This window comes from Homo sapiens, chromosome 12, assembly GCF_000001405.40.
Source record: "Homo sapiens chromosome 12, GRCh38.p14 Primary Assembly".
Taxonomy (NCBI): Eukaryota; Metazoa; Chordata; class Mammalia; order Primates; family Hominidae; genus Homo; species Homo sapiens.
The window spans coordinates 108,177,317-108,203,072 of NC_000012.12; the positions used below are offsets into that span (position 1 = coordinate 108,177,317).

Sequence of the window (25,756 nt, forward strand, 5' to 3'; positions counted from 1 at the left end):
GGTGCCTGGCCCAGAGTGAGAGCCCCTGCTTGTTAGAAGTCGCCGTGATTATAGTTACTGGGCACTTGCTGTGTATTTAAAAGCAGTAAGTATAGTGAGTGCAGCCAGACTTACCCAGTCAAATCCTGGCTCTGCCTCCTACACCCTAGCTGTGTGACCTTGAACAAGTTACTGAAGCTCTCTGGGCCTCTGATTCTACACCTGTAAAATGAAGATAATTATAGTGCCTGTCTCAAGGGGTTTTTATATGGCACAAATGAGTTTAAATGTAAGGGGCCAGCTTCCTTTGTTCAACATTGTTCAGCCATTTATGAGGCTCAACAGCTGGGCGTGGTGGCTCACACCTGTAATCTCAGCACTTTGGGATGCTGGGATGGGAGGATCACACTTGAGCTCAGGAGTTCAAGACCAGCCTGGGCAAATAGTGAGGCCCCATTTCTAAAATAATAATAAGAGGCTCAAGAATGTACAAAGCTAACCTATGGTGATAGAAGTTAGAAAAGTGATGGCCCCTGGGGAGGGTGATTCGCTGAGAGGGGACAGTGGAGAGCCTCTAGGAGCCAGGGGAATGTTCAGAGTCTTGATCTGGGTGGGTCACCTGGGTGTGTACATATGTGAAATTCCTGCGCACTTGTTTTTACCATGCCACATATGAATTCTCTCTCATTAAAAAAAAAGGAAAAGGAAATGTTGAGGTCCTATGCAGAGCACTGGTGTATCAGTTTGCTAGGGTTGCTGTAACAAAACACCACATGCTGAGTAGCTTAAACAACTAAAATTTATTATCTCACAGTTCTGGAAGCTGGAAGTCCAAAATTAAGGTGTCAGCAGGGTTGGTTCCTCCGAGGTGTGTGTGGGAAGAATTTGCTTCCTACCCCTCTCCTTGGCATAGATGGCCCTCTTCTCTGTGTCTTCATAGCGTCTTCCCTCTGGATGTATCTGTCCTGATTTCCTCCTTTTGTAAGGACACTTATGAAAGGGCATGGTGGTGACCAGCATCTATGGTGACCAGCATCTGAAAAACACCCCCCCTAATAAAAAGTATAATCACTTGTTCATTGACCTACCAGCACCATCGAATCTCTCTGCATGGTGAAACTTTGGCTCGCTTCTAGGCCTTTGCCTGACCCTTCAAATCATGACACGATTGTTCCTTGCTATGCACTATACATCAGATACTTTACCACCTTCTCTCAGTCACACACATCTGTCAAGATGTAAACTATGGCTGAATCATTCGACATCTACATGCCAACGGGGCTTCAATATTCTTTATCCGCTTATTTTTACATGTAAGCTAAGGCCTATACTACAGATCCTACACCTTCTTAGAAACTTGAAACACTGGTATTATTCTTCCATTCACAGTAACAGCAACAATACTCATAGGCTACCTGACATATTAGATTAAAGCACACCCCAGTGACCTAATTTTAACTGGATTACCCCTGTGAAGAGACTGTCTCCAAAGAAGGCCACACTCTGGGGTACTGGCAGTTAGGATGTCAACGTATTAATTTGGGGAGACATAATTCAACCCACAACCGCCTACGTAGAAAACACCCTCTGAGTAGTAGTTTGTGGTAATTATTATAAGGCATTCATTCTCATTTAATTCTCACAACCTCTGAAGGAGATACTGTCCACTTAACATGTGCAATCTGAGGCCTAGAAAGGTTCTGGGACACACCCTGTGTCTCATGGGCATTAATAGCAGGCTGGCCTTTAAGTCAAGGTCCACCTGTCCCCTCACTGAGGATCAAACTCTGAGTTTTTTTTCCGGCCTCCTCTAATCACTTTCACATGGCCTGTTTAATTGTCTGGATAGGAGGTTTTTAAACTCTAGTCCCTGGACCAGCAGCATCAACATCGCCTGGAAGCCTGTTAGAAATGCACGTTTTCAGGCTCCACGGGAGTCCTGCTGTGTCAGGAACTTTCAGCGGGGGAGGGGGGGCAGAGGGGGCACAGAGCCTGTATTTTAACAAGCCCCCCAAAGGATTTCCAAGCTCACTCCAGTTTGAGAACTCCTGCTCTATGCAGCCCCTGAGCATCACACTGTAGCAATGAGTTGCCTGATTGGATCAAACCAAAAGGCCAAACCAGATTCCATATGGGACATAAAACTGCAGCAAGCACGTGGCTAATGGCCAGTAGCTTTCTCTGGGCTGGAAGGTCTTCTCTCTGATTCAGGAGACTTTAAAGACCAGCTTGCTGTGTGAGGCCTCCCTTCTCTCTGGTGGGATTGGCAATTGTACATGAGATTCCTTCAGGAATGGTTTGATCCAGACGATCATCCAGGACTTGGCAATGAGCTAGCCATAGAGGAGAGGGGAAGACCCAGCTCCAAGGAGTGCATGTTGCCTCTGGGGAGGCAGTGGTGCCACTAAAATCCCTCTGGAGCCACACAGCCCTAGGTTGAAATTCCAGCTCTGCCACTTATGACCTGCGTCACCTTGGGCAAGTCGCTGGACCTATCTGAGCCTCAGTTTCTCATTTGTATAATGGGGAGAATAGCACTCGCCTTCTAGAGTCATGGTGAACATTAGAAATTATGCATTTCAAATACAAAAGAAAAAATTAGCTGGGCGTGGTGGCAGGTGCCTGTAATCCCAGCTACTTGGGAGGCTGAGGCAGGAGAATCTCTTGAACCTGGGAAGCAGAGGTTGCAGTGAGCTGAGGTCACTCCATTGCATTCCAGCCTGGGTGACAGAGAAAGACTCCATCTCAAAAAAACAAAAAAAAAAAAAAAAAGAAAAAGAAAAGAAAAGAAAAGAAATCATGTATTTCAAGGTTCTGGAAGCCCAACAAGTAAAATTGGGATTGATTTTGCTTGAAATTAAGACAGACCCCAAGATTTTACAAGCTAAAAAATAAGATTGTCATTTTCCTGATGGCAGGGGTCATATCATCTTCATGGATGTATTCACAGCACCTGACATACAATAGGTACTCAATAAATATTTGTTAACTGAAGATATAAAAACATGCCGCCCCCCGCAGTGGAGAATATTTGGCTCCCACTGATTAGAATAGAGGTCTTTTCAGCCAAGGAGGGAGAAATTTTCCTCAGAGATGATGCATTTGTGCAGTTTGTGCAGGATACTCTCGCTGTGGATAGATCCCTTGGCTCAGGCCAGGCCCGTGGGACAAACCTTGGCTTGCCAAATGGCTGTCACTCAATGAATGTTTGTTGAATGAATGGATGAGCTGTAGTTTGAATGTCGGGGGAGGGAGAAGTAAATAGGAACCAGAAGAAATTTTAAGGTAGTTTTTATTTTTATGTTTTACTAAGCAAGAGCCAGAGGAACAGAAAGCTCAGTCCACTTGCTCTAGGCCACACAGTCATTAGAATGAGGTTAAAAGATGGGGACAGAAAGAAGGAAAGTTTGAGACCACAGCTTGAGCCTCCTCCAACTCTCACAACTACCCAGCACCCACTACATAATTTGCAGGGTGCAAGGCAAAATGAAAATGCAGGGCTCCTTCTCCAAAAATTATGAAGAATTTCAAGACAGTGACAGCAGAGCTTTAAACCGAGCACAGCAGGCCTTCTGAGTGTGGGTCCTGTGGGACCACACAGTGCAGGTTGTGAGCCTGTGAAAATGGACCTGCAACCACTTCCTCTACAGATGGGGAAACCCAGCTCAGAGAGGCTGCAAATGTCACCCAGGACACCCAGCCTGTCCTGCAGGGGAGTCCGGATTCAAGCCCAAGAACCTTAGTGGTCATCTGATTGACCTCTTCATGGAACTAGCCTGTCTGACTCCCTGTGCACTGCCATGGGCAGAGGGCGTCCTGTGCTATCTATGAGAAATGAAAGGAGCTTATCCATCCCCTTAGGAACCTGACATGCTGCAGCCGTCAGCAGCCTATTCCAACCCTCGTGCCTTGCTCTTCCTCCCTGGGATGCAACCAGACAGACCTTCCTCCCTCCCACCCCGGCGGATTTATTCCTGGGGGTGTGTGGGCGGCTGCGTGTTTGTGTGGGGGGTGTTCATCTAAATTTAAAGACATCATGACAGCAAAGACCTATTAATGTTGGGGCTGGTGAGGACTCACTTTTCAAAGAATCCCAAATAAATTAAGAGATACAAGACCGCCCCAGTTCTAACTTCTGTCCCTGTTCCACCTTACTCTGTGCCTATCAGCCCTCTGGCCTGGGATAAGAAGAGTAAAGGATATTGACGGGGACTAGATGCCTGTCAGGGACCCTGAGAGGTGGCATGATGGCACCCATTTACAAGTTGGGAAAATGGAGGCTCAGAGAGGTGACATGCGATTGTTAAGGGTTTTTTGTTTATTTGTTTTTAGAGACAGGGTCTCACTCTGTTCTCCAAGCTAGAGTGTGATGGCATGATCATAGCTCACTGCAACCTCAAATTCCTGGGCTTAAGCCTTGCCAAGGTCTTGAGTTAAACAAAGTGACAGAGCTGGAGGAGGACTCCTACACATTCCAGAACTCACCTTCCACCAAGCCATAGCTGCCCCTGTTGATACAAACGTGCAAATAACAATAACTGTGGTTGTGCTGAGGCCTGGGAATTACCTGGCCCCATGGTAAGCATTTTAAACAGTTACTGCAGGTAACTCTGCCAATACGCAGATGCTTTGCATGCCATATTCTCATCCCATTTTATGGGCAAGGAACTAAGGCTTAGAGAGATTAAATGGTTTCCTCAGCTTTCTCACTGCTGTTAAGTGACAAGCCAAGATTCCAGCTCAAGTCTAACTGACATCAAAACTCATGCTCTATCTCTTTCTTTAAATCCAGCTAATTATGGAAAACAGAAACACAGATCTGCAAAATGAAAAAATAAATCACTCCTAATCCTACCTCCAAGAGGTAACATCTTTCTGTATATCGTTGTGTTTCCATCCATCTGTTTTTCTCTGCCAAAAGGGAGATTCTTGCTCCCGGCAGCTGACCTTGCTGTTCTGTAATTGCCAGGCAATTTAGAGATGACTTGAAATATATAATTCATGGGTGCATCTTTCATCCTGGTCACTGGAAGGCAGCGAGGCATGACTGTCTCCCGGAGAGAATTTCAACTTTGACATGGGAGATGAGATCTTAGGAGCTTAGAAAAAAATTTCACAATTGGAGAGCCCACCAACATTGAAACTAAACCAAAAACTATCTGAGACAGGTCTCAATCAGTTTAGAAGTTCATTTTGCCAAGGTTAAGGATATGCCCAGGAGAGAGGTCTGTGCATTTCTCCAGAGATGACTTTGAGGGCTTCAGTATTTAAAGGAGAAAAGCAAGCTGGAGGGGAAAGAAGGTATGGTCACGTTACTAAACCCACAGGTTGCAAGAGAAAAGGAGCAGGTAGAGGAGTAGTCAATTACGTTATTTGTTTCCCTCTCAGTAAATCAGCACTTTACATAAGATAAGGTGAACATCAAGTAGCTACCTGTGGAGATATTTCACCTTTTATCTGTAGCTATCTGCTTAAGAACAAAAGGAGAGGCAGTTTCTTGCCTGACTTAGCTTCCAGCATAACTTTTTCCTCCTTTTAATATAGTTTTTTTTTTTCCTTGCACAGAACGGACCCTAGTATCCCAGCATAGAGTGCTAGAAGTTGGGGATCCTAGCGTGGAACCTCACAATAGGATCTTATGATGGAGAGCTAGGATAAAAATCTTAGAAAGGAGCTCTAGAATCTGGCACCAAAACTTTGTAAGCCTGGATTCAGATGGGTCCACAGGCAGTGTTCTGGTTCTCTCTTCCATTAGGTGCAGGCCAGGGATGCTATCAACCACCCTACAATGCACAGAACAGCTCTCCTCAACAAATTATCCAGTCCAAAGTGCCAGTGTCACTGATGATGAGAAACTCTGGTCGTGACTTTTCAAGACAGGTGCTTCTTTATTCTTTTGACAATTCCAGGGGATGAAGAAACCACCTTTGGTCAAAATGAGAAGATCCAGTTTCTAGTTTTAGCTCCAAGACTAACCATGTATCTCAGGCAGGTCCCATGGTGTCTGCTGTTTCTCACTCATGAAGTGGGAATAAGGATTCCTGCCATGTGTTATAAATGGGTATGGCCTGATAGGGCTGGTTAACTCTGTGTATGTGCTGGGGGTGAGGGGGATGACAGCCATGGGGCTGTGCACATGTTCAGCATGCATGAATCTCTGCACCTCTGTGTGGCCTCCTGGCACCTTCTCTGTGGTACGATGGTGTCCAAGTGATGTCTTCATGGATAGAATGGTCAGTCAGTTTCTGGCACTTGTTGCTTGCATATGAAGGGACATCTCTCTGTTGGATGCCAGCAGAACTCCTTGGGCCACTAAAGGCTTGGGAACCCCTGTGCCTTCTGAGCGGGCTCTGAGCATTCAGAGGAGAAAGGCTGTCTTGTACAGAAAGCCTCCAAATCACTCCACTTGCCCCACAGAGAGGAGGCCCCGAGGTCAGAGGTCAGAGGGTGGCACTTCCACAGAAAACAATGTCACATAGAGGTTAGGATTAAGGGTCTGGAGTCAGACAGGCCTGGGTTGAGTCTTGTTCTGCCACTCACCAGCTCTGCCCTTTGGCAAGTTGACTGACCTCTCCAGGCCTTGGTTGTCTCATCTGTAAAGTGAGATTAAACCCAACCTACCAAGCAGAGCCCCTGGGGAGAGGCAATGGCACAGGGTACATGGAAGGGCCTGGCACATAGTAATTGTGCAACAAAAGGTGTTTATCCATTTTTCTTCTTTCTCAGGAGGGTGCCAAGGCTGAAGGCTGGGATGCAGGAAAACTGGGTCTGGGTAGAGTCACCCTCCACCTCCCCTTTAGGCCTCAGTTACCCCATATGTCTGTGAGGAAGCTGACCTGGAGGTTATGAACAGTCCTCCCTCCTGCTTTGATGGCTGTGAGCCCACCTCTCAGTCCTGCTCAGAGCTGGCAGTAGGTGCTGGCAACCCCTCCAAGGGCACAAGGTTCTCCGGGACAGGGGAAGAGAATTTGAACCTGTAGAGGTGGGCTGGGGAGCACAGAGACCACCTCTCCACCACCACCCCCCAAACACACACACACTGCCTTGGACAGAAAGATTGGGCTTGGGTGATTTGGGGGTGGGGATGGCAGTTATTTTTCACTCCTGGTGGAAAGTTCCTCTTTGGGGAAGGGTTGCTAATAGGTGCTGTCACCGTTCCTAAATTAGAGTTCAATCCACCGTGGTCAGTGTGGAACCAGCAAATGGCAATTTGCTCGTGTTTGCGGCTGGGAGCAATGGGGGCTGCCAGGGAGCAGCGTGTGCTCTGGGAAGAAACCTGCAGGGCAGGAACCAGCTCAGCCCTGGCCTGGCTGTGTGACTCTGGACCACTCCTCCAGCCTCTCTGAGCCCCCGGGTTCCTCATCTGTAAAACATCAGACTTGAACTAGCTGGTGTCTAAGGGCCCTTTGAACTCTAGGATTCTATGGTATCATAATCATAATCTTGGTAATAGCTAAAAAGTATTGAGCACTTACTTGGGTCCAGGTCTATGCGAGACATTTTATATGGACAGAGGTTATTTCATTCAAGTTTCTCCAAGCCTCAGTTTCCCCTTATGTAAAGGAAGGCTGTTTCGCTAGGTGTTGGATCTCCAGGCTTTCTTGTAGCTCTGTCACTTGCTGTAAGGAAGAAGCTGAGTGACCTGAGAGTGGCCTTTGAGCTCTGAAGAGGGACAGGGTGAACTCCTTCAGTGGTCCTAAGCCCCTTCCCCCATAAACTCTGTATCAGTTTCCATTGCTGATGAAAATTAAGGGTCAGCAAATACTTTCTGTAAAAGGCTAGAAGGTAAATATTTTAGGCTTTGAGGGCCACATTTCCCTGAGCCCCAGCCAGAAAGAAATTCTAAATCCTCCCACAAGCCTTGCCAAGCACCTGGACCTTGGACCTTTCTAAGCTCCAGCAATCAACAAGCATTTTTCAGCTCAGCCTCTGAGAAGTGGTCACATCCCACTGGGACAGGAATGTCCTCAATGTATTATTTAGGAAATGGGCTCCGGTCACACTGCAGTTCAAGAACAGTCCTGAGCAGAAACTCTAGGCCCTTGTGGGATGGACCCCCACTGACCTTTTTCCACCTCCCAGTCTCTGCATGGTGTCTCCTGCTGCCTGGGACATTCTTGCCCCAGATCCTCCCATGACTGTCTCCTTGTCATTTTGCAGATCTCAGCTCAAATGCCTTCTGAGAGGGGCCTTTGGGAACCACCCTACCACACACAGCTTCCTCCTATTCTCCATGCTAGGACTTTCCAATTATTTCAGTGACCCCACAGTGAGAAATGTATTTGACATTGTGATGCGCACACACAACCGAGGCAAAGGTTCACAAGATAACATTTCTCCTTACTGTATGTGAGTCAATGATAGCTTACTCTACGCCATTCCCTTTCATCCTATCCTAGTCCATCCTATCTCCTCCTTCCTGCCTTCCTCCCTGTTCTCTGCCATTCCCTGTAGGTCTGCCTCTTGGGTAAACACTCTGCCCAGAACCAGCAGAACCGTCCATTATCTCCCCCAGCCTATTAAGGAACTCTATGCAAATGTGCACTAATTGACCCAAGACACAGCAGCTCCTGGAGGAGAAGGATGACTCCAGATGGCTTAATGATAGGGATTTAGAAGTCCCTTCAGAAGTCCCTCTTGGGGAAGAAAGTGATCTGCACTTGGAGAAGGGCTGCCAGCTGCCTCATGGGGTGGCCAGTGGACTGGGTGACCTGCACCTTGGGTCCCTTTCATCAAACCACTGTACAAGGGAGACTGTCAGCTCACCCCTTCATCTCTCTCCAATCCCCTGACCCTTCCTGCAACATGGCCCCTTCCCCAGAGCCCACAGTTTGGATATTTCGTTGACATGTACCTCAGTGGGTCTCTGCCTTTTCAAATAAATTATTGTCCCCCCTTTTTAAATAGACTTTTAAAAAGCCATTTTAGATTCATAGCAAAATTGAGCGGCAAGTACAGAAAGTTCCCATATAACCCCAGACCCTCCTCCAACAGCCTCCCCCTCCATCAACATCCCGCACCAGAGTGGTCCCTTTGTTACAGTTGATGAACCTACACTGACACATCATTATCACTCAAGTCTGCAGTGTCCATTAGGGCTCACTCTTGGTGTTGTACCTTCTGTAGGTTTGGACAAATGTATAATGACATGTGTCCACCATTATAGTATCATACGGAGCAGTTTCACTGTCCTAAAAATCCTATACTCTACCTACTCACCCTCCCTCTAGCCCTCAGCAACCACTGATCTTTTTACTGTCTCCATAGTTTTGGCTTTTCCAGAATATCATATCATTGGAATCGTACAGTGTGTAGCTTTTTCAGATTGGCTTCTTTCACTTGATAATATGCATTTAAGTTTCCTCCATGTCATTTAGCCCTGAATAATACTCCACTGTCTGGATGTACATACTCCTTTGGGTAAATTCCCATGAGCATGATTGCTGGATCGTATGGTAAGAGTATGTTTTGTTTTATGAGTTGCCCTTTGAAGACTAACTGTAGCTTATTGAGCCCTTTTGGTATACCTAGCACCATGGTAAGAAGAGACAAATGAAAAGTTTTCTCATTCAGTGCTGTCTATAACCCTGGAAGGCTTGGTCCTACGAGATCAAGGACTCAAGTCTTTCTCGGGTCCTTTGTCTCTTCTTTGTCTCGGTTCAGTGTCTCTTCTCTGCTCAGCTACTTTCTTCTTCTTCTCTTTGCAGACTTAACTTTTGCTCTTTCTTTGGGCACCTGGTGACAGCTCCTGAGGCTACAGGTCCATAGTCTAAGTGATCAGCAAAGATGTGAATGTCTCAAATCCCAACTCCATATTTCTGGGGCCAAGAATGGATTGACCAGTTTTAGATCTGAGCCTACCTATTATCCACCGGCAGTGCCAGTGGGAAGGGTAATATGCTGCAAACACAGCCCCTAGGGTCTGCCTCTGTAAGCAAGGGGTGGGTGTCACATACTAGACAGATTCCTCAAAATGTGTCCTCCACACCTACCTTAGGTAGTCACCAATCATTGCACCAACTCATTGAACCTTTATCTTTTTCTGAAGTCTGGGCAAAGGGTATTGTCATGAGAAGAGGTAAATGTTTTGTTTAGTTGGCCAAAGTTGTGGCAGAGAATGACTACCTACTAAGAAACTGTCATGACAGGTTTAGCATACGGTTAAGAGTGCAGGCCCCAGAGCCAGGCTTCCTGGGCTCGAAGCCTGTTCCACCACTTGCTAGCTGTGTGATGCTGCACAGATGACTTAACTTCTCTGATTTCCTAATCTGTAAAATGGGGCTAACAAGTGGAACCTTTCTTATAGGGTTGTTGTAAGGATTACAAGTTACTCTCTAGACAGTGTCTGTCACATAGTTGGTGCTCAATAAATACTAGCTCACATTATTATTAGGGTGCTATGTATTTTAAAAACAGTAGCTCATTTAACCCTCCTACCTTTCCAATGAGGCAGGGTGGATTGGCTCTATTTTGCAGGTGAGAAAACTGAGTCACAGAGAGGCCCCTTGCTGAAGATCACACAGCCACCACCGCCCTGAGGCAGGTTCAGATGCAGGAGTGTGTGACTCTGGCCCTGACCCCTTTCCACGTTTCCTCTCCGTGGCCATTCCTGTCCATAGTGGCCCACCCTGACCCTGCAACAAGCGAAGATGGCTGTAAAGATTGCCCATGGAGCAAGAGGCACTAGAGTCATTACCCAGATAAACAAAATTTTAATATTTATTTATAACGGACACCATATGCTCCCTCTGATTTTTTTATTTAATTACATCATGGCAGATGGCTGGGTGTTAAAGGCCATTAAGCTAATGGCACTTTGCCTTCTCATTTATTTTCTTGAGTTTTGGGGAAGATAAATGAAAATGGACATGGTTGGCAGGCTGTGAGCGTAGGGTAGTGCTGAGTGAGTTTCCTTCCTGGGAACAGAGGGAAGTGTGGGGACCCAGGGGATTCTTTCTGGAGGTGGGGTGAGCAAGTGTAGGGGGCAACATACGGGTGTGCCTAGGAACCTGGTGAAGCTTTCCTGGTGTGTACATGCTTCCTGGTCAAAAAAGTGGGATTGTTGTGTCAAAGATTCTGCAGAATTGTTGCATCAAAGATCTGCAGAACCACAATATATCCATCATGAGCACGATGGAATCATTAAACTACAGCACACCAATGAATGGAAGGGTGTGTCCCAGAGAGGGTCCACCCACTGTACGGGGTGCAAAAGCCTTCCCTAGGGTTAGCTGGGTTACTAAAATTCTGGATTCCTAAGACAATGAGGGAAAGGATTTGGCATTTATAATGGCATTTCTTCTCAAGCTGTTTCATTAAGTCTTTCACTTGCCAAATGGCTGGTCCACCACCAAGAAGGGTGAGAAAGAACTTTGATTAAAGGAATTGGGGGTTATCTACCTGAGAAGTGTTCGAGGCATGGCCATCCATATCTTCAGGCTCAGAAAGGTTCCTTTCATCAAGGCTTGGATTCAACTGAGGGATTAGTGGTTAAGACAGGGAATAGCTGCCTTGCTGGTCTGCATAGTGTCCGCCATGGCATCATGACACTGAGGCTCAGTTTTGCACTTGAATTCATGCTCCACTTTTTGTGTGTCTGGGCAAGTTACTTAATCTCTGTGAACTTTAGCTTTCTCATCTGTAAAGTGGGTATAATATGCCGATGTCTCATCATTGTTGAAAGGTCCTATATTGCTTTCCGGGGATCTGTATAAAGATTTACATACAGGATGTTTATCATAGCGTTACTTATTTATAAAAGAGGGAAGACTGGAAATATTTTACATGTCTATGATAAGGAAAAGGTTGAAAAACCATTGATATGATATGAATCAACCATATTGATTCCTATTCTAAGGAATCAACTATTCCAAGAAATGAATACCACTGATAAGTAGTTCATTTAGGAAATAAAGAGTATACTTACTCCTGTCCTTCCCTGAGCGGGGAAGTGAGACAGGGAAGGGAAGAAATCAATAAAGGGTGTATTATTGAGTCATCTGTTACAGAGGGTGGTTGAGGCTAAGTCCCACTGGAGAAATACACACTGCAGAGTTATTCCAGCTGAGGAGCAAGGGAGCTGGGGCATTTATACACCAACTCCCATCAGTCATATTTGCAGCTGCTTCCAAATGTTAATATTCTAGCATGTCTTGCCTGCCAACCACACAAGCACAAAAAGCATTCAAGGTGCTGGAGAAACCCCTCAGACAACCAGATGAACATTCAGAATTTAACTCTGTGGGTGGGGCACATATGGCATCTGTTACAGATCTACCAAACTGACCAAAAAGGAAAGGACTGACAACATTAAGTGTTGGTGTGGATTTGGAGCAGCAGGAATGCTCAAACTGTACTGGGGAAGTTGTGACTACAGCAACCTTGGAAAAAAACTGGCATCTTTTAGGATAATCATAAGATGCTCATACAAAAACAAAAACAAACAGACAAAAACTAGCGCTTTCACTCCTAGGTATACATGCACTCTACATTAATTATTATATACATGCATCAGGAGGGAGGTATAGGAATGTCTGCAGCAACTGGCAAGAGGAATCCATTCTATCCAAGCCACATGAGCTGAGAATTAATGAGGGAGAAATTCCGTGAAGGAAAATAGAGTCCTTGTATCAGAATGAAGGGGCACTGAACAGGCAAAACCACATGTATTCTCCAGAAATTATTATAAGATGTAGCATTTGCACCTAATACATATAGATATGATATATTTGTATATATTGACTTATTTAGTTCTCACGCTAACCCTAAGAGATAAATTATATTACATCATCACTCTATAGATGGGGAAACTGATGTTCAAAGAAGTTAATGACCACCTCAAAGAATGATAGTGGGGATTAAAAGGCACAATGGGAATAAGATGACTGGCATATAGTATGCGCTCAACAAACACCAGTGACTTCTGATATTTTTATTATTAGAACAAGACTGAAATTTTACCTGGGCTCCCCAGTTTCTTGGAAACTTCCCAGATGGGTCTCCTACCCAGAACTCTTAAGAAATCAAACCTTCATGAACCTGATTTCTCAATAGCTATTTCTCGGTGAAGCTTGGGTGGTCTGGGGGTCAGTTGGTCGCTGGGCCTGCCCAGTCCCTCCGAACTGCCTCTGCCCCCCAAGTCAGGTGCTGGGGATTACAGAGAGGGAGTCAGCCCCCTACCCAGCCTCACAGGCTTCCATTCTGGCCTACCCTAGCCAATAGAACCTGGAAGGGGGAGGCATAATTTTACTCCCAGGGGAGGTAAGGAACCACAGGGCAGGCTATGCCTCTGTTTTTCTTTCCCCTGCAGGCAGCTCTTCCCCACCCATCTTCAAGTTGGCAGCTCAACACCAGAGCCTCATTCTGGTGCTAAAAATAGTCTGTGTTTAGACACTTTGAGGCTCCTGCTGGAAACATGAACTGCAGTAACCAAATGCTGCCACTCCCACAAAGGGGGCCTCTCAGCCTCCTCCCTGTGGAAACTCATGCCAGCCCTGGGGGGGAGGCAGAGTAGAGGTCGTCCACCACATTTAACAGATGGGGAAACTGAGGCTTAGAGAGGTGTCACATAAAATAAAGGGGGATGAAGTCGTGATAGCCAGCCCTGTGGATTGTCTCATCGAATCCTCCCCACACCTCTGGGAGGGGCATTCTATGGTTGACTTAACTTTATAGAGAGAAGATGGCAGCTCAGAGAGATGAAGTCCCCTGTCTGGACCTCACACCTGTAAGTGAATGACAGGAGGGGATATTAATACAATTATAATCCTCAACATGCTATGAACAAATAGAGACAGAGAGAAGTGGGTTGCTGAAGGCCAACAGCCCCTGTCTCACCCAGGGTTGTAGACACATTATCTGTGGATTGTGAAGAAACATCACACCTGCCTTGCAGCTATCCCAGAGGGAGGAATATGGGAGAACGTATTTGTAAAACCTTCAAACACAGTATCCAGCATATAGTAGGTATTCAACAAATGCAGTTAGTTTCATTTCCCCATTACCTTTGAGGCAGAATTTCTCTCTGGAGAGAGATAGCAGAAAGGGACAATGACAGACTAGAGAGAGACTTGGAGAGACAGAGATGGAGAGAGAGGCAGGAGAGAGAGAATGACAGATGGATGTGGGAGGCAGGGGAGTCTGGGATACCTTTGAGGATATGGGGCTTTGGCTCAGCCGAATCCTGGAACCCTTGAACCCCAGAACCACCCAGTGCTGAGTAACACAAATGCTACCTCCACAGAGCCCTGGATTTACAGTTCTCCAAGGCTGTCACCTGAGTGTTTTGGCCAGTGTGTGAAGCCATGGTTGTAGGTGTAAGCCCTGGGGGGATGAACCTGACTCTTTTTACTCATTTTTCTCTACCAGTGTTTCTTGGGACCCTCCTATGTATCAAATAGCCTTATCCCCTCCATGGGGCTCAGCTTCCAGGGGGCTCTTCCTCTGGGCGAGCCCCTGCCTCCTCCTAGCACCGGCAGGATGCTGTGGGATGGCTCAGGTCAGCACCTTCCCTCCCCAGGAGAAAAGGGAGCTCTGAAAGTGGGGGGTGGACACAGCCCCTCTCCACACGGTCCACATCCCTCCGGCAGATCTCCTTCATTTTCCACATCACCCATGCCTCAGTCTCATTCTGTTCCCTGCCAGCCCCTAATGAGCTCATTATCCTCTTAAAGCCCCTTTCGCACCCACTTAGAGAAGAGATGTGTTGGAATATGAAAGAACGAAGAGGGAACAATGAAAAAGGACTAGACCCAGAAATATCCTGAGAGAGGCAGAAAGCCACAGGGAACACTACAGCTGAAAACTTTGCTGTCTCCACGACAGCAAATGTGCTGAGGTGGCAAATGGCTTTCAAGTGTCTCACATGTGCCCTTGAGGGGCGGAGGTGGGGCTTATCTTGAGCATCTCCTATGCATCAGGTATTCCTCCTACAATGTTTAATTCAGTCCTTCCAGCAACATACTTTTTAGGGGAGAAGTCAAGATCCTTTAGGCCACTTTACAGGTGAGGAACCTGAGTCTTGCTGAGAAGGGATGTCTTGCCCCAGTCACTCACCTGGGGTAATGGAAGAGGCAGGATTTGAACCCAGGTCTGTTTGCCTGTGGAGTCCACCTCTGTTCTTGCCTGAGTGCCTCTGGAAGGGCTGGTGTCCCCTTGCCCATCCCACGAGGACTGCTGGCTTTTTCTCATCCCATCCCAGCTGCAGAAACATCTGGCACGTGTTGGCACGACCATGAAACCTCAGTGGATTCTCATGTGTGTTTTTAGAACACAGTCCCAACTCCTGAGCTTGGCATCCAAGGCTTCCCATGGTCTGGCTCCTGCCCACTGCTTGGCTGTGTTCCCAGCCCACAGTCCCCCAAGCTCCTTTGTTTCTTACCCCTCAGTGATGCACCCTCATGTGGGCTGTTCCTCTTCCCTGGGCTAACCTTCTGTTGCTCCTTCACCCAGAGAATTTTGACTCCTTTTGCAAGACCTACTGGCTCAAAGACTCCTCCCTGGGGAAGCCCTCTATGGTTCCCCCAGGCAGTTGCAGACCCTCACTTCCCTGGGCTCCCACATTCCATGGCTTCTCAACCCAGGGTCCAAACCCCACCCTGATATTTTAAGCCAAATTCTGGGAGCTTATGTGCAAGGGCTTTTTTTTTTTCTGGGCATATATCTATAGTTGTCATGAGATCCTCAAAGAGTTACAAGACCAGAATAGACATACGGTTAGGAATATAGGCTTTGAAATCAGGTGGCACTGGGTTTACCATCCTGCTGCCACTTACTAGCTCTGTGACCCTGAACAAGTTACCTAATCTCTCTGATACTCATTCCCCTCTTGTGTAAAAATAGATATAGGTCTCCCTCATAGAAATGTTTAAATGAGAGTATGTATATGTGTAGAAGAATGTCTGGCATGTATTAACTGTCCAATAAACATTAACTATAATATTGATTGCTGTATCCTGTACACACATCTACTATGGGATTTATCATAGTCTGTCTAGCATAGTGATTGTTTACATTGCTTTCTCCCTCAGTTGACTCTGAATTCTCTGAAAGCAGGGACTGTGAATTATTTATTCCTGCATCTCAAACACACACATAGTAGGCAATCAGCATATGTTTTTAAATAAATGGAAGAATGAGTGGATGACTGGATGGGTGGAGAGTTGGATGGATGGATGGATGGGCTGCTATAGTTCAGATGGATAGATGAATGGATGTATAGTTGGACAGATTAATGAATAGATTAATGGTAGGTGGATGGATGGTTCAATGAATAGATGGGTAGGTGAACTGCCGGAAGGCAAATGGATGGATGGATGGATGGATAGATGGATGGATGGACGGATGGGTTAACGAATGGATGGGTGGGTGGATGCTGGATGACAGACAGATGAATGGTTGGATGGATGGATGGGTGGATGGATAGAGGGTTGGCTTAATGACTGGATGGGTAGGTGGACTGCTGGATGACAGACGGATGGATAGATGGACAGATAGTTTGACTTTACAAAGGCATGGATTTTTGTCTGTTTTGTTCACTTATTTATTCCAAGTGCCTACGAGGGTGACATAGTATGTGCTCAGTACTTAGTTCTTGAATAAATGGGATGGCAGACTCTACCTTAAACCACAGTTAAATGCCCACACTACTGTCTGGATTAGGAGAGTATGTTACAATTTGTATCTTCCATTGGCTGACTATGGAATCTCAGGCGTTGGCTAAGATGGTCATGGGGCCCCCTGCTGGTGGTAATATGAAAAAGCATTGGCTAAATGGGGTTTTCTGTTTTCTAATTTACATTCTATTTTTCCTCTTGACTGATGATCCTGAACATTTACTCATAAAGCTGTGGTACTCAACTCTCTGTGCTCATTACCATTATCTGAGAGCACCTGGTTACAGATGTGGGTTTCCCCCTCAACCAGACATTCTGGTTGGAAAGGTTAGGAATCTATATTCACCAGGCTCTCAGGTGATTCTGAATCAGTTGTTTCTCAGACCCACACCCGGGAGACCCTGACAAAGGGTGAGCCATGCTGGTGACCGGGAGGCTGTAAGGATGGGCTACCGTCTGGGGGGCTGTCTCTGAATTCTCAAGTGATGTCCAGACTATGTGGGAAAGAGGCAGAGTCAAAGAGACACTGGTTAAGAGCTGTGATTTGCGATTTGGACTGTCCTGGGTCCAGATCCCAGCTCCATCACTCACCAGCTGTGTGACCTCCATTTCCTCATCTGTAAAGAAGAGAAATAGTTACCTCTCATAGGAATGTTGGGAGCAATAAAGGAGACAAGTGTAGATGGCTGGGCACAAAGCTGAGCACATGGTAGACACTCAATAAACACTGAATGGACAAATATGCTGCTAAATAACCCTACTTTCCTTCTTTTTCCTTTTCCTTCTTGGATAGAGGAGAGGGGCTATGGATTTTATTTCTCCCACTAGAATGTGAGCTCTATGAAAGAGGGGATTTTGCCTCTGCCGCTCACAGCTTAATTTCCAGCACCTAGGACAGTGCCTCACACAAAGTAGGTCTCACTGAGTGTTTGTTGGGAAAAAAAATGAATGAATCTGGTCTGGTTCAGAATTGCCCAGGTTCAGCAGGTAGTTCAGCAAGGACCTTGAAAGTACTTTTCAGACTTAAGGTAATCCTTGGATCAGTATATATTTGACAAATATATAGGAAGTATGGAGCAAAGCAAACCACTGGCCCATAAGAACCTGTGCTTGTCCAAGACAAAGTTTGTCCCCAACTAGGGCCCACTAGGATCCAGGTCCCTAAATTCCCAGTTTGGTGTCAAGAAAAAGGCAGTGTTCTAGAAGACTCAGGGATGCTCTTTATCTAGCACTGCTCTTAAACTGTTTCATGCCATTGGTGGTTTCCTCCTCTCTCCGGGCCTCTGCATTTCCCTGTAGGATGCTCAAGAACCCTGTGGGTTCTGTGCTTTGGTGAAGGGGCTTCTCATGCCTGTGTCTCTGCTGTTTTGCAGGTGGCATCCCTGAGTCCTGATGCCTGACTGGATGGAGGCCCACCAGCTTCTGTTCCCATGAGGTAGAAAGGCCAAGCTTGGTCTTCAGCTGGGGAAGAGGCCAGAAACAAGGCCCCCAGTGAAATAACCCAGATCCATTGGCCTGAGGAGCAGAGAAAGGGCAAGAAGTGAACTGCAGCTGCTGGTAACCCTCAGAAACCTTCTCCAAGTGCTATTCTCACAGTTCTTTAGGAACACTCTGAAGTGAAGAACAATATGTAGGAAAATGGGACCAACTTATGTGTGTTCTGAGCCTCAAAACCCCCTTGTTGGCCCAAAGAAGCTCACCTTCAGTTTGGGAGGGCTGGTAAGCTCCATCCTTTCTCATGGCCTCAGCCAAGCATTGAACTTGCCCTCCCCTTCTGGCCTTGGTGATCACTTTTTCAGGAAGAGTGAGACTGAGGACCCCCAAGTGTTCCATCCCTAAGGAAAGCTTGGGAAACCAAGCCCCTTCCATCCTCTCCCAAGCACCCCAGCCAAGCCCCAGAGAGCCAGTCCGGAATGATCCCACTATGGCCAAGCTCTGGTTCAAATTCCAGCGGTACTTCCGCCGGAAACCTGTGCGCTTCTTTACCTTCCTGGCACTCTACCTGACTGCTGGGAGCCTTGTCTTCCTTCACTCTGGCTTTGTGGGCCAGCCCGCTGTCTCGGGGAACCAGGCGAACCCCGCTGCTGCAGGAGGCCCAGCTGAGGGTGCTGAGCTGTCCTTCTTGGGTGACATGCATCTGGGCAGAGGTTTCCGGGACACAGGTGAAGCCTCAAGCATTGCTCGCAGGTACGGACCCTGGTTCAAGGGCAAGGATGGGAATGAGAGAGCCAAGCTTGGCGACTACGGTGGAGCCTGGAGCCGAGCCCTCAAGGGGAGGGTTGTCCGGGAGAAGGAGGAAGAGCGAGGTAAGAGCGAGGAACATCTGGACACTGAGGGGCTGGGGAGAAGGGAGGAGATACTAACAATGTAATAACAGCTGTCAGTTTTCAGTGTTTAATAGGAACCAGCTGTCATATCATTGTAGCTATAAATAGTGCCTGCCATTATCATCCCCATTGCACAGAGGAGAAAATTGAAGCTCAGAGAGATGAAGCGGCTTGCCCAAGGTCACACAGCTTGTCAAGAGGCAAGTTTGGATTTGAACTCCACATCTATCAGAGGTCAAAGTCTGACTCTCCCCTGTAGCCTTTTACAGTCCTTGTTAAATATACATGAAAATAAAACAGTCAGCATTTATTGGGTACTTACTAGGCACCAAGTACTGTTTCCAAGCACTTTACATATATAGAAACATCACCACAACTGTAGGTGATAGATTTTATTTATTCCCATTTTAAAGATGAGGAAAGTGGGGTACCAAGAGCACAAGATTACACAGCTAAGTGGCAGAGCTTCTGCTCCACCAGACTGTCTCTCAGTCCATCTTGCTGGGTCCCTTGGTGATGGATCTCAGGAGAGATCATTGCCCTGGATAGATTTCATTGCATTTTCTCAGCCATTTATAATCTAAAAAGGCTTTTGTTCATGACTGCATTACCTTATTTGATTTTCACTACACTTCATGGGCTTAAACAAGGCCCCTATTATCCTGTGCCCAGCTAACAGATGTGGAAACTGAGGCTTGAAGAAGGGAAGACACTTGCCCAAAGCTGCGCAGCTGGTCAGCAGCAGGAACGGAGTTTAAATCTGATTCATCTGGCCTGAATGCTCAGTTCTCTAAGGCTGTCTCCTAGAGTCCACTGGCATCTACCCATCCAACCAGCATGCTAGGGAGGAACCCACAACCCCTACAATTCATAAGATTAACACAAATGGACATTTCAGAAATCTGGGCCAGATGGTTTGGGAGAATAAACCACCAATCAAGGCAGATGGAAAATCTCACTAGCCTTTGTGTTCTACTGTGATTCAACTCATAAAAAACCCTTCTGCTACCATGGAAGGAAGCAGGATTAATGGAGGGAATTCATCTTGGAACACATTCTCCTGCCCCAGTCCTGCCCCCAACCTGGCCTGGGAACCATCTAGAAGACTCTATCTTTCTGCCCTCAGGAATTTCCTAGACTTCTGCCTCTTCAAGAACCAATGCTCACAGGGAGGCAAAGGAGATGTTGGAAGTGGTAGAATGGATCAGGGGATGTGGATTCATATTCCAGCTCCACCCCCACCAGCCATGTGGCCCAGGCAAATGGTTTTACCTTCTCCCGCCTCAGTTTTGAAATCTGTAAAATGGGGATTTTACTGGATGCTCCTGAGAGTTCAATGAGACAAGGGTGATGAAGGCCTAGCACTGAGTAGATGCTTAGAGGTGCTCAGGAAGTGCTCCTGGGATCTCCCGGGGTATCATCTTATAGGTATAGGTGAGGTGTGAAGTGCTACACCCCAGCCACTCCAAACTCCATTCTGGCCTTTGAAAGCCCCAAAGTCCTCACCAGCCAGCACCTTGAGATATGGTCCCCATAATGCTTAGGACAAATTCCAGACGCCTCCCACAGTCCAACTCTGCAACCTCATCTTATAACCCCACTCCCCTCACCATGCTCTGCCCCACTGTCCTTGCAGTTCACTGAACACACCAAGCCTGTTTCTATCCCAAGATCTCTGTATATGCAGTGCCTTCTATCTGGGATGCCGTCTCCCCAGATGTTTGCATAGCTCCCTTCTTCCTTTCCTTCAAGTCTTTAATCAAACCTCGACTTCCCATAGAGACCATCCCGGAGCATCCTAACTCAAATAACCCCACTTCCTACCCAGTCACAACCACAATCCCCGACTCTATTTTCATCATAACACTTATCACCATCTGAAAGCATCTCATTTATGTGTTTGCCTCTTTGTTTAAGATCAGCCTGTTCTACTGGACTGTCAGCTCCAGGAGGGCAGGGCTATTACCTGTCCTGCCTGTCTGTGTTCTATCAGCACCCGGGACAGCACCTGGCTAAGTGCTGTTGCTGAATACCTATTTGTTGAATGGGTGAATGACTGGATGAATAAACGAATGAATGACTATCCCTTTGCCTGGAGTACCTCTACATCGTTAGCTCTACTCTTCCTCCAAGTCTCATCTTTGCTAATCTTCAAGAAATTTTCCCTGATCCCCTTACAGGTTTGATCAAATGCTCCTCCTCTATGCTCCCTGGCATGGCCCTTATATGAATGGCAATTGTGTATGTTTGTCCATGTCCCCTGATAGAATATGAATTCCTTATGGTGTAGGTGATACAGAAACAACAACGTCTCTCATTTGTTGTGAGATTGAAATACTGCCATCAATGCTAATAATAAGGACCATTTCTTGAGTACCTACTTCACACCAACCACTTGTCTATTTGCTTTTCATGTATTATTTGAATGAAATGATATATGTAACATGCTTATAATATCCTCTGGCTCATAATAATAGGTCACTTAATAGTTGCTGTCCTTGTTATTTGTAGTAATATTAGCTGATATCTAGTGAATGATCATTACAGGCTAGACCATGTTACGTGTTTCATTGACTCATTTAATTACTACCACTCAGTAAGTTAGGGATTATTATTCCATTTCCCAGATGGCAAAACTGAGGTCCAGAAAGAAATCACTTACCGTAGTTTACACAGGTCAATAGTGGGGGAACCAAGGTTTAACACAAGGTCTGTTTAATTCCAAAGCTTGTGAGCATTCTTCTATACCATGCCACCTGCACCCCCACCATGCCTTACCCAGCAATCTTATATATTTTATAAAGTGCAGAGAGAAGGAAGAGAAAATAAGAACATAGCCCCAAGGCCAGGGCTCTCAGCAGACAGCCTTTGGAATCAGGCAGTGTTATCAAGAAAACACAAATCCAGCCTGTCCTTGATTAACTTATTCAGAGTTTAGCGAGGAAAGACAACATATTAGATTAACGCTAATAAAAATGAGACACTTCTCCGGCCTGACGCTAAACTCATTTTGTTTTCTCCAAGGCTGGTGAGGGCTCTGCTTGATGCAGTGATGCAGGACTCAGGCTGTAGAGGATTCAGAGCCCATCATGGCCCGGGAGTGGGAGGGGAGGAGCTGCACCCAGGCTGAGCTGAGGCTGGGCAGGAGTCTGAGTTCTTTGGTGTAACTGACACCTACCATGTGCCAGTCATTTACCTAGGCCTCTCTAGGTTCACATGGCCATGTGAGGGCCTGTACTTTGAGCAGCCAAATCAGGGTTCAAATCCCAGTTCTGCAACCTGCTGGCTGTGCAGCCTTGGGCAGGTCGCTTCACCTTTCTGACATGCCATTTCCTCTTTGGGATAAAAAGTACTTAACATCAGATGGCGTTGTGATGATTACATAAGGTCAATTCAGCATGTGCTCTCTAAGTGCCAGGTGCTGTTCAAAGCATTTACATCTATTACATCACATAATCTTCATAGTAATGAAGGAAGATAGACACTGTTATTAACTCCATCTTACAGGAGGGAAAGTCAGGCACAGAGAAGTTAAGTAACTTGCCCAAGATTACCCACCTGGGGGAGGGAGTAAACCAGTATGTGAACCCAGGTGTTGTGAGTCTTACACCTGAACCTTAAGCACTACATCACGTCACTTCTCAGTGTACAGAAAGTACATGCCAGCTATTATTATTATAATAAGCTTGCATACTACCTTAATACATGCCAGCTATTATTATTTATACTGTAATTTTGCAGGAGAAAATGGAGGAATAGAGGTAATGTGAATTTCCTAAAGTCACACAGCTAATCTGGGGCAGAGCCAGGAGCTGAACCCACTTTGACTTCAAAGGTTGTGCTGCTTCTATTTCCATGAGATTACAGAGAGGCTTGGGCTGGGTGTGAAGGTGGCCATGGGAAGATTTAGTCTGCATTTTTTTGGAAGGATAGCAGGAGCACCCACTTCCCATCTCCTCCAGCTGGAGATGCAATGGCTGCAGGTTACTGAGGTGCTCTGTGTCAGGGACTATTTGTCCATATTTTCCTTTCAGCTTCATATCAGGTAAAAATATTGAGTGCCATTTCACGGATGAAGAAACAGGCTCAGAGAGGTTCAATTATTTGCCCAACATCACACAGATGCCAAGAGGCAGAGCTGACTCCAGCCCGATTTGATCAGAGTCCAAAGCCCTTATTCTTAACCACTGGACTTATACTATTTCTTTCTTAAAATATAAGATCTCTAACTCCATTCATTCGTTCATTTATTCTTTCATTCATTCATTCATTCTGTATTTATCAAACACCTACTACATGCCCAGATCTTTGCTGGAAGGTGGAGATACAGGAATGATTCAAGCACAGGTTGTGAATATTCCTCAGAGGAAGAAGCTGTGCTTTTCCCCATTATAACACCTTTTCATTTTATTAAAAGTTCTTCTACAATAAGCCAAAATTATTTCTAATTTGAAAAAATAATGGACAATACTAAGAAAATTTAGAAAAGTTTTGGGGGACCCCAAAGGAGGGACCCCATTCAGTCATGGGGTATCACAACTGGCTTTCTGGGAAAGCATATAGGTGAGCTTAGTATGTAGGATCCTTATGCCTTGACCAAAGTGAGTGGTGCATCCCTTCTGCCCTGGGGAAGCCTAGATATGAGCAGGAAATTCCATCGCCGGTACAAGGAAACCCAGGCAGCACTGGGTGGTCTTCTGGAGGGACCACCTTCCAGTGTTTCAGAGAATCCCCAGAAGGAGAAAAAGTATTTCTTGTGTCTTCCTTCTGTGCCAGACCCTGTGATAGGCTCAATGCATCAAATTAATGTTACTTAGGTCACCCTTAACAATATCTTTGTATTAGCTTTCTCAGGCTGCTATAACAAAGTATCACACACTGGGTGGCTTGAACAACAGATATCTATTCTCTCACAGTTCTGGAGGCCAGAAATCTGAAGTCAGGGTGTTGGCAGGGCCATGCACTCTCAAAGGCTCAAAGGGAGACTCTGTTCCATGCCTTTCTCCTGGTTTCCAGTGTTCCCAGCCATCCTCAGCAATCCCTTGCTTGCAGCCACATTACTCCAATCTCTGCTTCCATTTTCACATGACCATCTCCTTTGCGTCTGTGTCTTCATATAGCCATCTTGTTATAAGGACACCAGTCATACTGGATTGGGACCCAGCCTACTCCAGTTTAGCCTCATAACAAAATTCCATCTGCCATGACCCTATTTCCAAATAAGGCCACATTCTAAGGAATTGGAAGTCAAGACTTCAACATGTCATTTTGTTGGGGTGTGGGTGGGGGGCGGGACAGGGCACACAATTCAGCCTGACAACCCTAGTTGAATTTTTGCTCCCACTTTTCAGGTGGAGAACTGCACCCCGAAGAGCTTGAGTAATATTTGAGGCTACTGCAGCATCATGTGTGGGATTTGAACCCAGATCTGGTTAGATCTGGTTGACTCCAGTACAGCATGAGGCCTCCTATTCGTGAATCTGTTCACAAACTATAAATCAGAGGCATACAAATTAGTTCATGTTTAGCTACCCTTTTAACAAATCACCTTCATTGAAGAGAGCAAAATTCCATGAAAAGATTAATTGTAGCAAAAGAAAAAAGTAAAGGAGGAAAAAAAACTGCCACCAGGAGGGTTCTTTTCAGATGCTGGTTTCTCTACTGGAGATAAATAGCCCAGCTGGGGTGACTTTGCCATTTCAGCAGTCTTCAGACCGCTGTGGAGATGAGCTGATAGATTGTGTGAACTTGGCCATTAATCCACCCTCAAGTGGCCTGTGATTTTGTCCCTGTTTTACATATCTGACCTCCTGTCTCCGAGAGATTCTGCTACCACAGCAGGATTTGAAGGTGGAGCCCTGAGGAACGGCTGAAGAGGATTTTAGCGGGCTGGCAGTAACCACGCTAATGAGCTCAGAAGGGTGAAACAACTCTGAGGACAGGGACCATGGTTGTATTGGTCGCAGCCTGCACCAAAGGTCCGTGGGAAAGGGGTCACCAGATCTTTCCCAAGACAGGAAGGAAACTGACTCAATATTGATATCCTGATCCATGGAGCTCAGTCCATTAATCAGGCCGTGATGCATAACATGCCTGTGTTTTCCAAAAGCATTAATAAAGGACCATGTATCTTCCTCTCCCTCCTGTTGACAGATAAGGAAACAGAGGGTCATTCGTTCATTCAACAAGTCTTTGAGCACCTGTTGTGTGGGACATCTCAGCCTGATGCCTGGTCTGGTGGGAGGGTGAGGAAGGGGACAGAGCACCATTTAAAAGCCCAGGCTTATAAAAAAAGAATAAGATCATGTTTCTTGCAGGAACATGGATGGATCTGAAGGCCATTATTCTTAGCAAACTAATGCAGGAACAGAAAACCAAATACTGCACGTTCTCACTTATAAGTGGGAGCTGAGTGATGAGAACACATGGACACAAAGAGGGGAACAACAGACACTGGGGACTGTTTGAAGGTGCAGGGTGGTAGGAGGGAGAAGAGGTGAAAATATAACTATTGGGTACTACGCTTAATACCTGGGTGACAAAATAATTTGTACAACAAACCTCGTGACACGAGTTTACCTATATAACAAACCTGCACATGTACCCTGCACTTAAAATAAAGCTTAAAAAGAAATAACTAAAAGCCCAGGCTTTGGGGAAGATGGACCTATGGTAAAAATCCCAGATCTTCTCCCAACGAACCACCCCACTTCCCAGCTCCATCCTCCTCCTGGGCAGGTCTCTCTGGGGAGACATCTCCTCCCAAGACATCTCCTCCCAATCCTGGACTCAGTGTGGCATATAGGAAGGGGCAACTTTGAATAGACAGACCTGGAC

The 25,756-nt window shown here is 46.2% G+C and overlaps 1 protein-coding gene and 3 long non-coding RNA genes across 18 annotated transcripts in view; 1 reads left to right on the top strand and 3 right to left on the bottom strand.

The window, feature by feature from the left end:
* Positions 1-25,756, top strand: part of WSCD2 (WSC domain containing 2) — a 121,250-nt gene that overhangs the window by 48,029 nt on the left and 47,465 nt on the right. For all 13 annotated transcript variants that reach the window (XM_017020244.2, XM_017020243.2, XM_017020248.2 and 10 more), the window contains one exon: positions 17,966-18,898. In XM_017020244.2, coding sequence (XP_016875733.1) covers positions 18,517-18,898 — 382 coding nt within the window. In that variant the 5' untranslated portion in view covers positions 17,966-18,516. The remainder of the gene's footprint in view (positions 1-17,965; positions 18,899-25,756) is intronic.
* On the bottom strand, positions 761-5,016 carry LOC124903076 (uncharacterized). Its single transcript, XR_007063581.1, has 2 exons — positions 4,835-5,016; positions 761-1,031 (listed from the first exon to the last, which is right to left on the bottom strand). It is a non-coding gene; the product is annotated as an uncharacterized LOC124903076 (long non-coding RNA).
* On the bottom strand, positions 5,184-10,503 carry LOC105369965 (uncharacterized). 2 transcript variants are annotated; one of them, XR_007063582.1, is made up of 3 exons: positions 7,455-7,513; positions 6,816-6,953; positions 5,184-5,264 (listed from the first exon to the last, which is right to left on the bottom strand). It is a non-coding gene; the product is annotated as an uncharacterized LOC105369965 (long non-coding RNA). The 2 variants fall into 2 exon arrangements; XR_001749312.2 differs by lacking the exons at positions 5,184-5,264; positions 6,816-6,953 and adding exons at positions 7,253-7,342; positions 10,417-10,503 and having other exon boundaries at positions 7,455-7,598.
* LOC124903077 (uncharacterized) overlaps positions 13,646-25,756 on the bottom strand; it is a 49,492-nt gene continuing 37,381 nt past the window's right edge. For both annotated transcript variants that reach the window (XR_007063583.1, XR_007063584.1), the window contains exon 3: positions 13,646-13,703. This is a non-coding gene — a long non-coding RNA (uncharacterized LOC124903077). The remainder of the gene's footprint in view (positions 13,704-25,756) is intronic.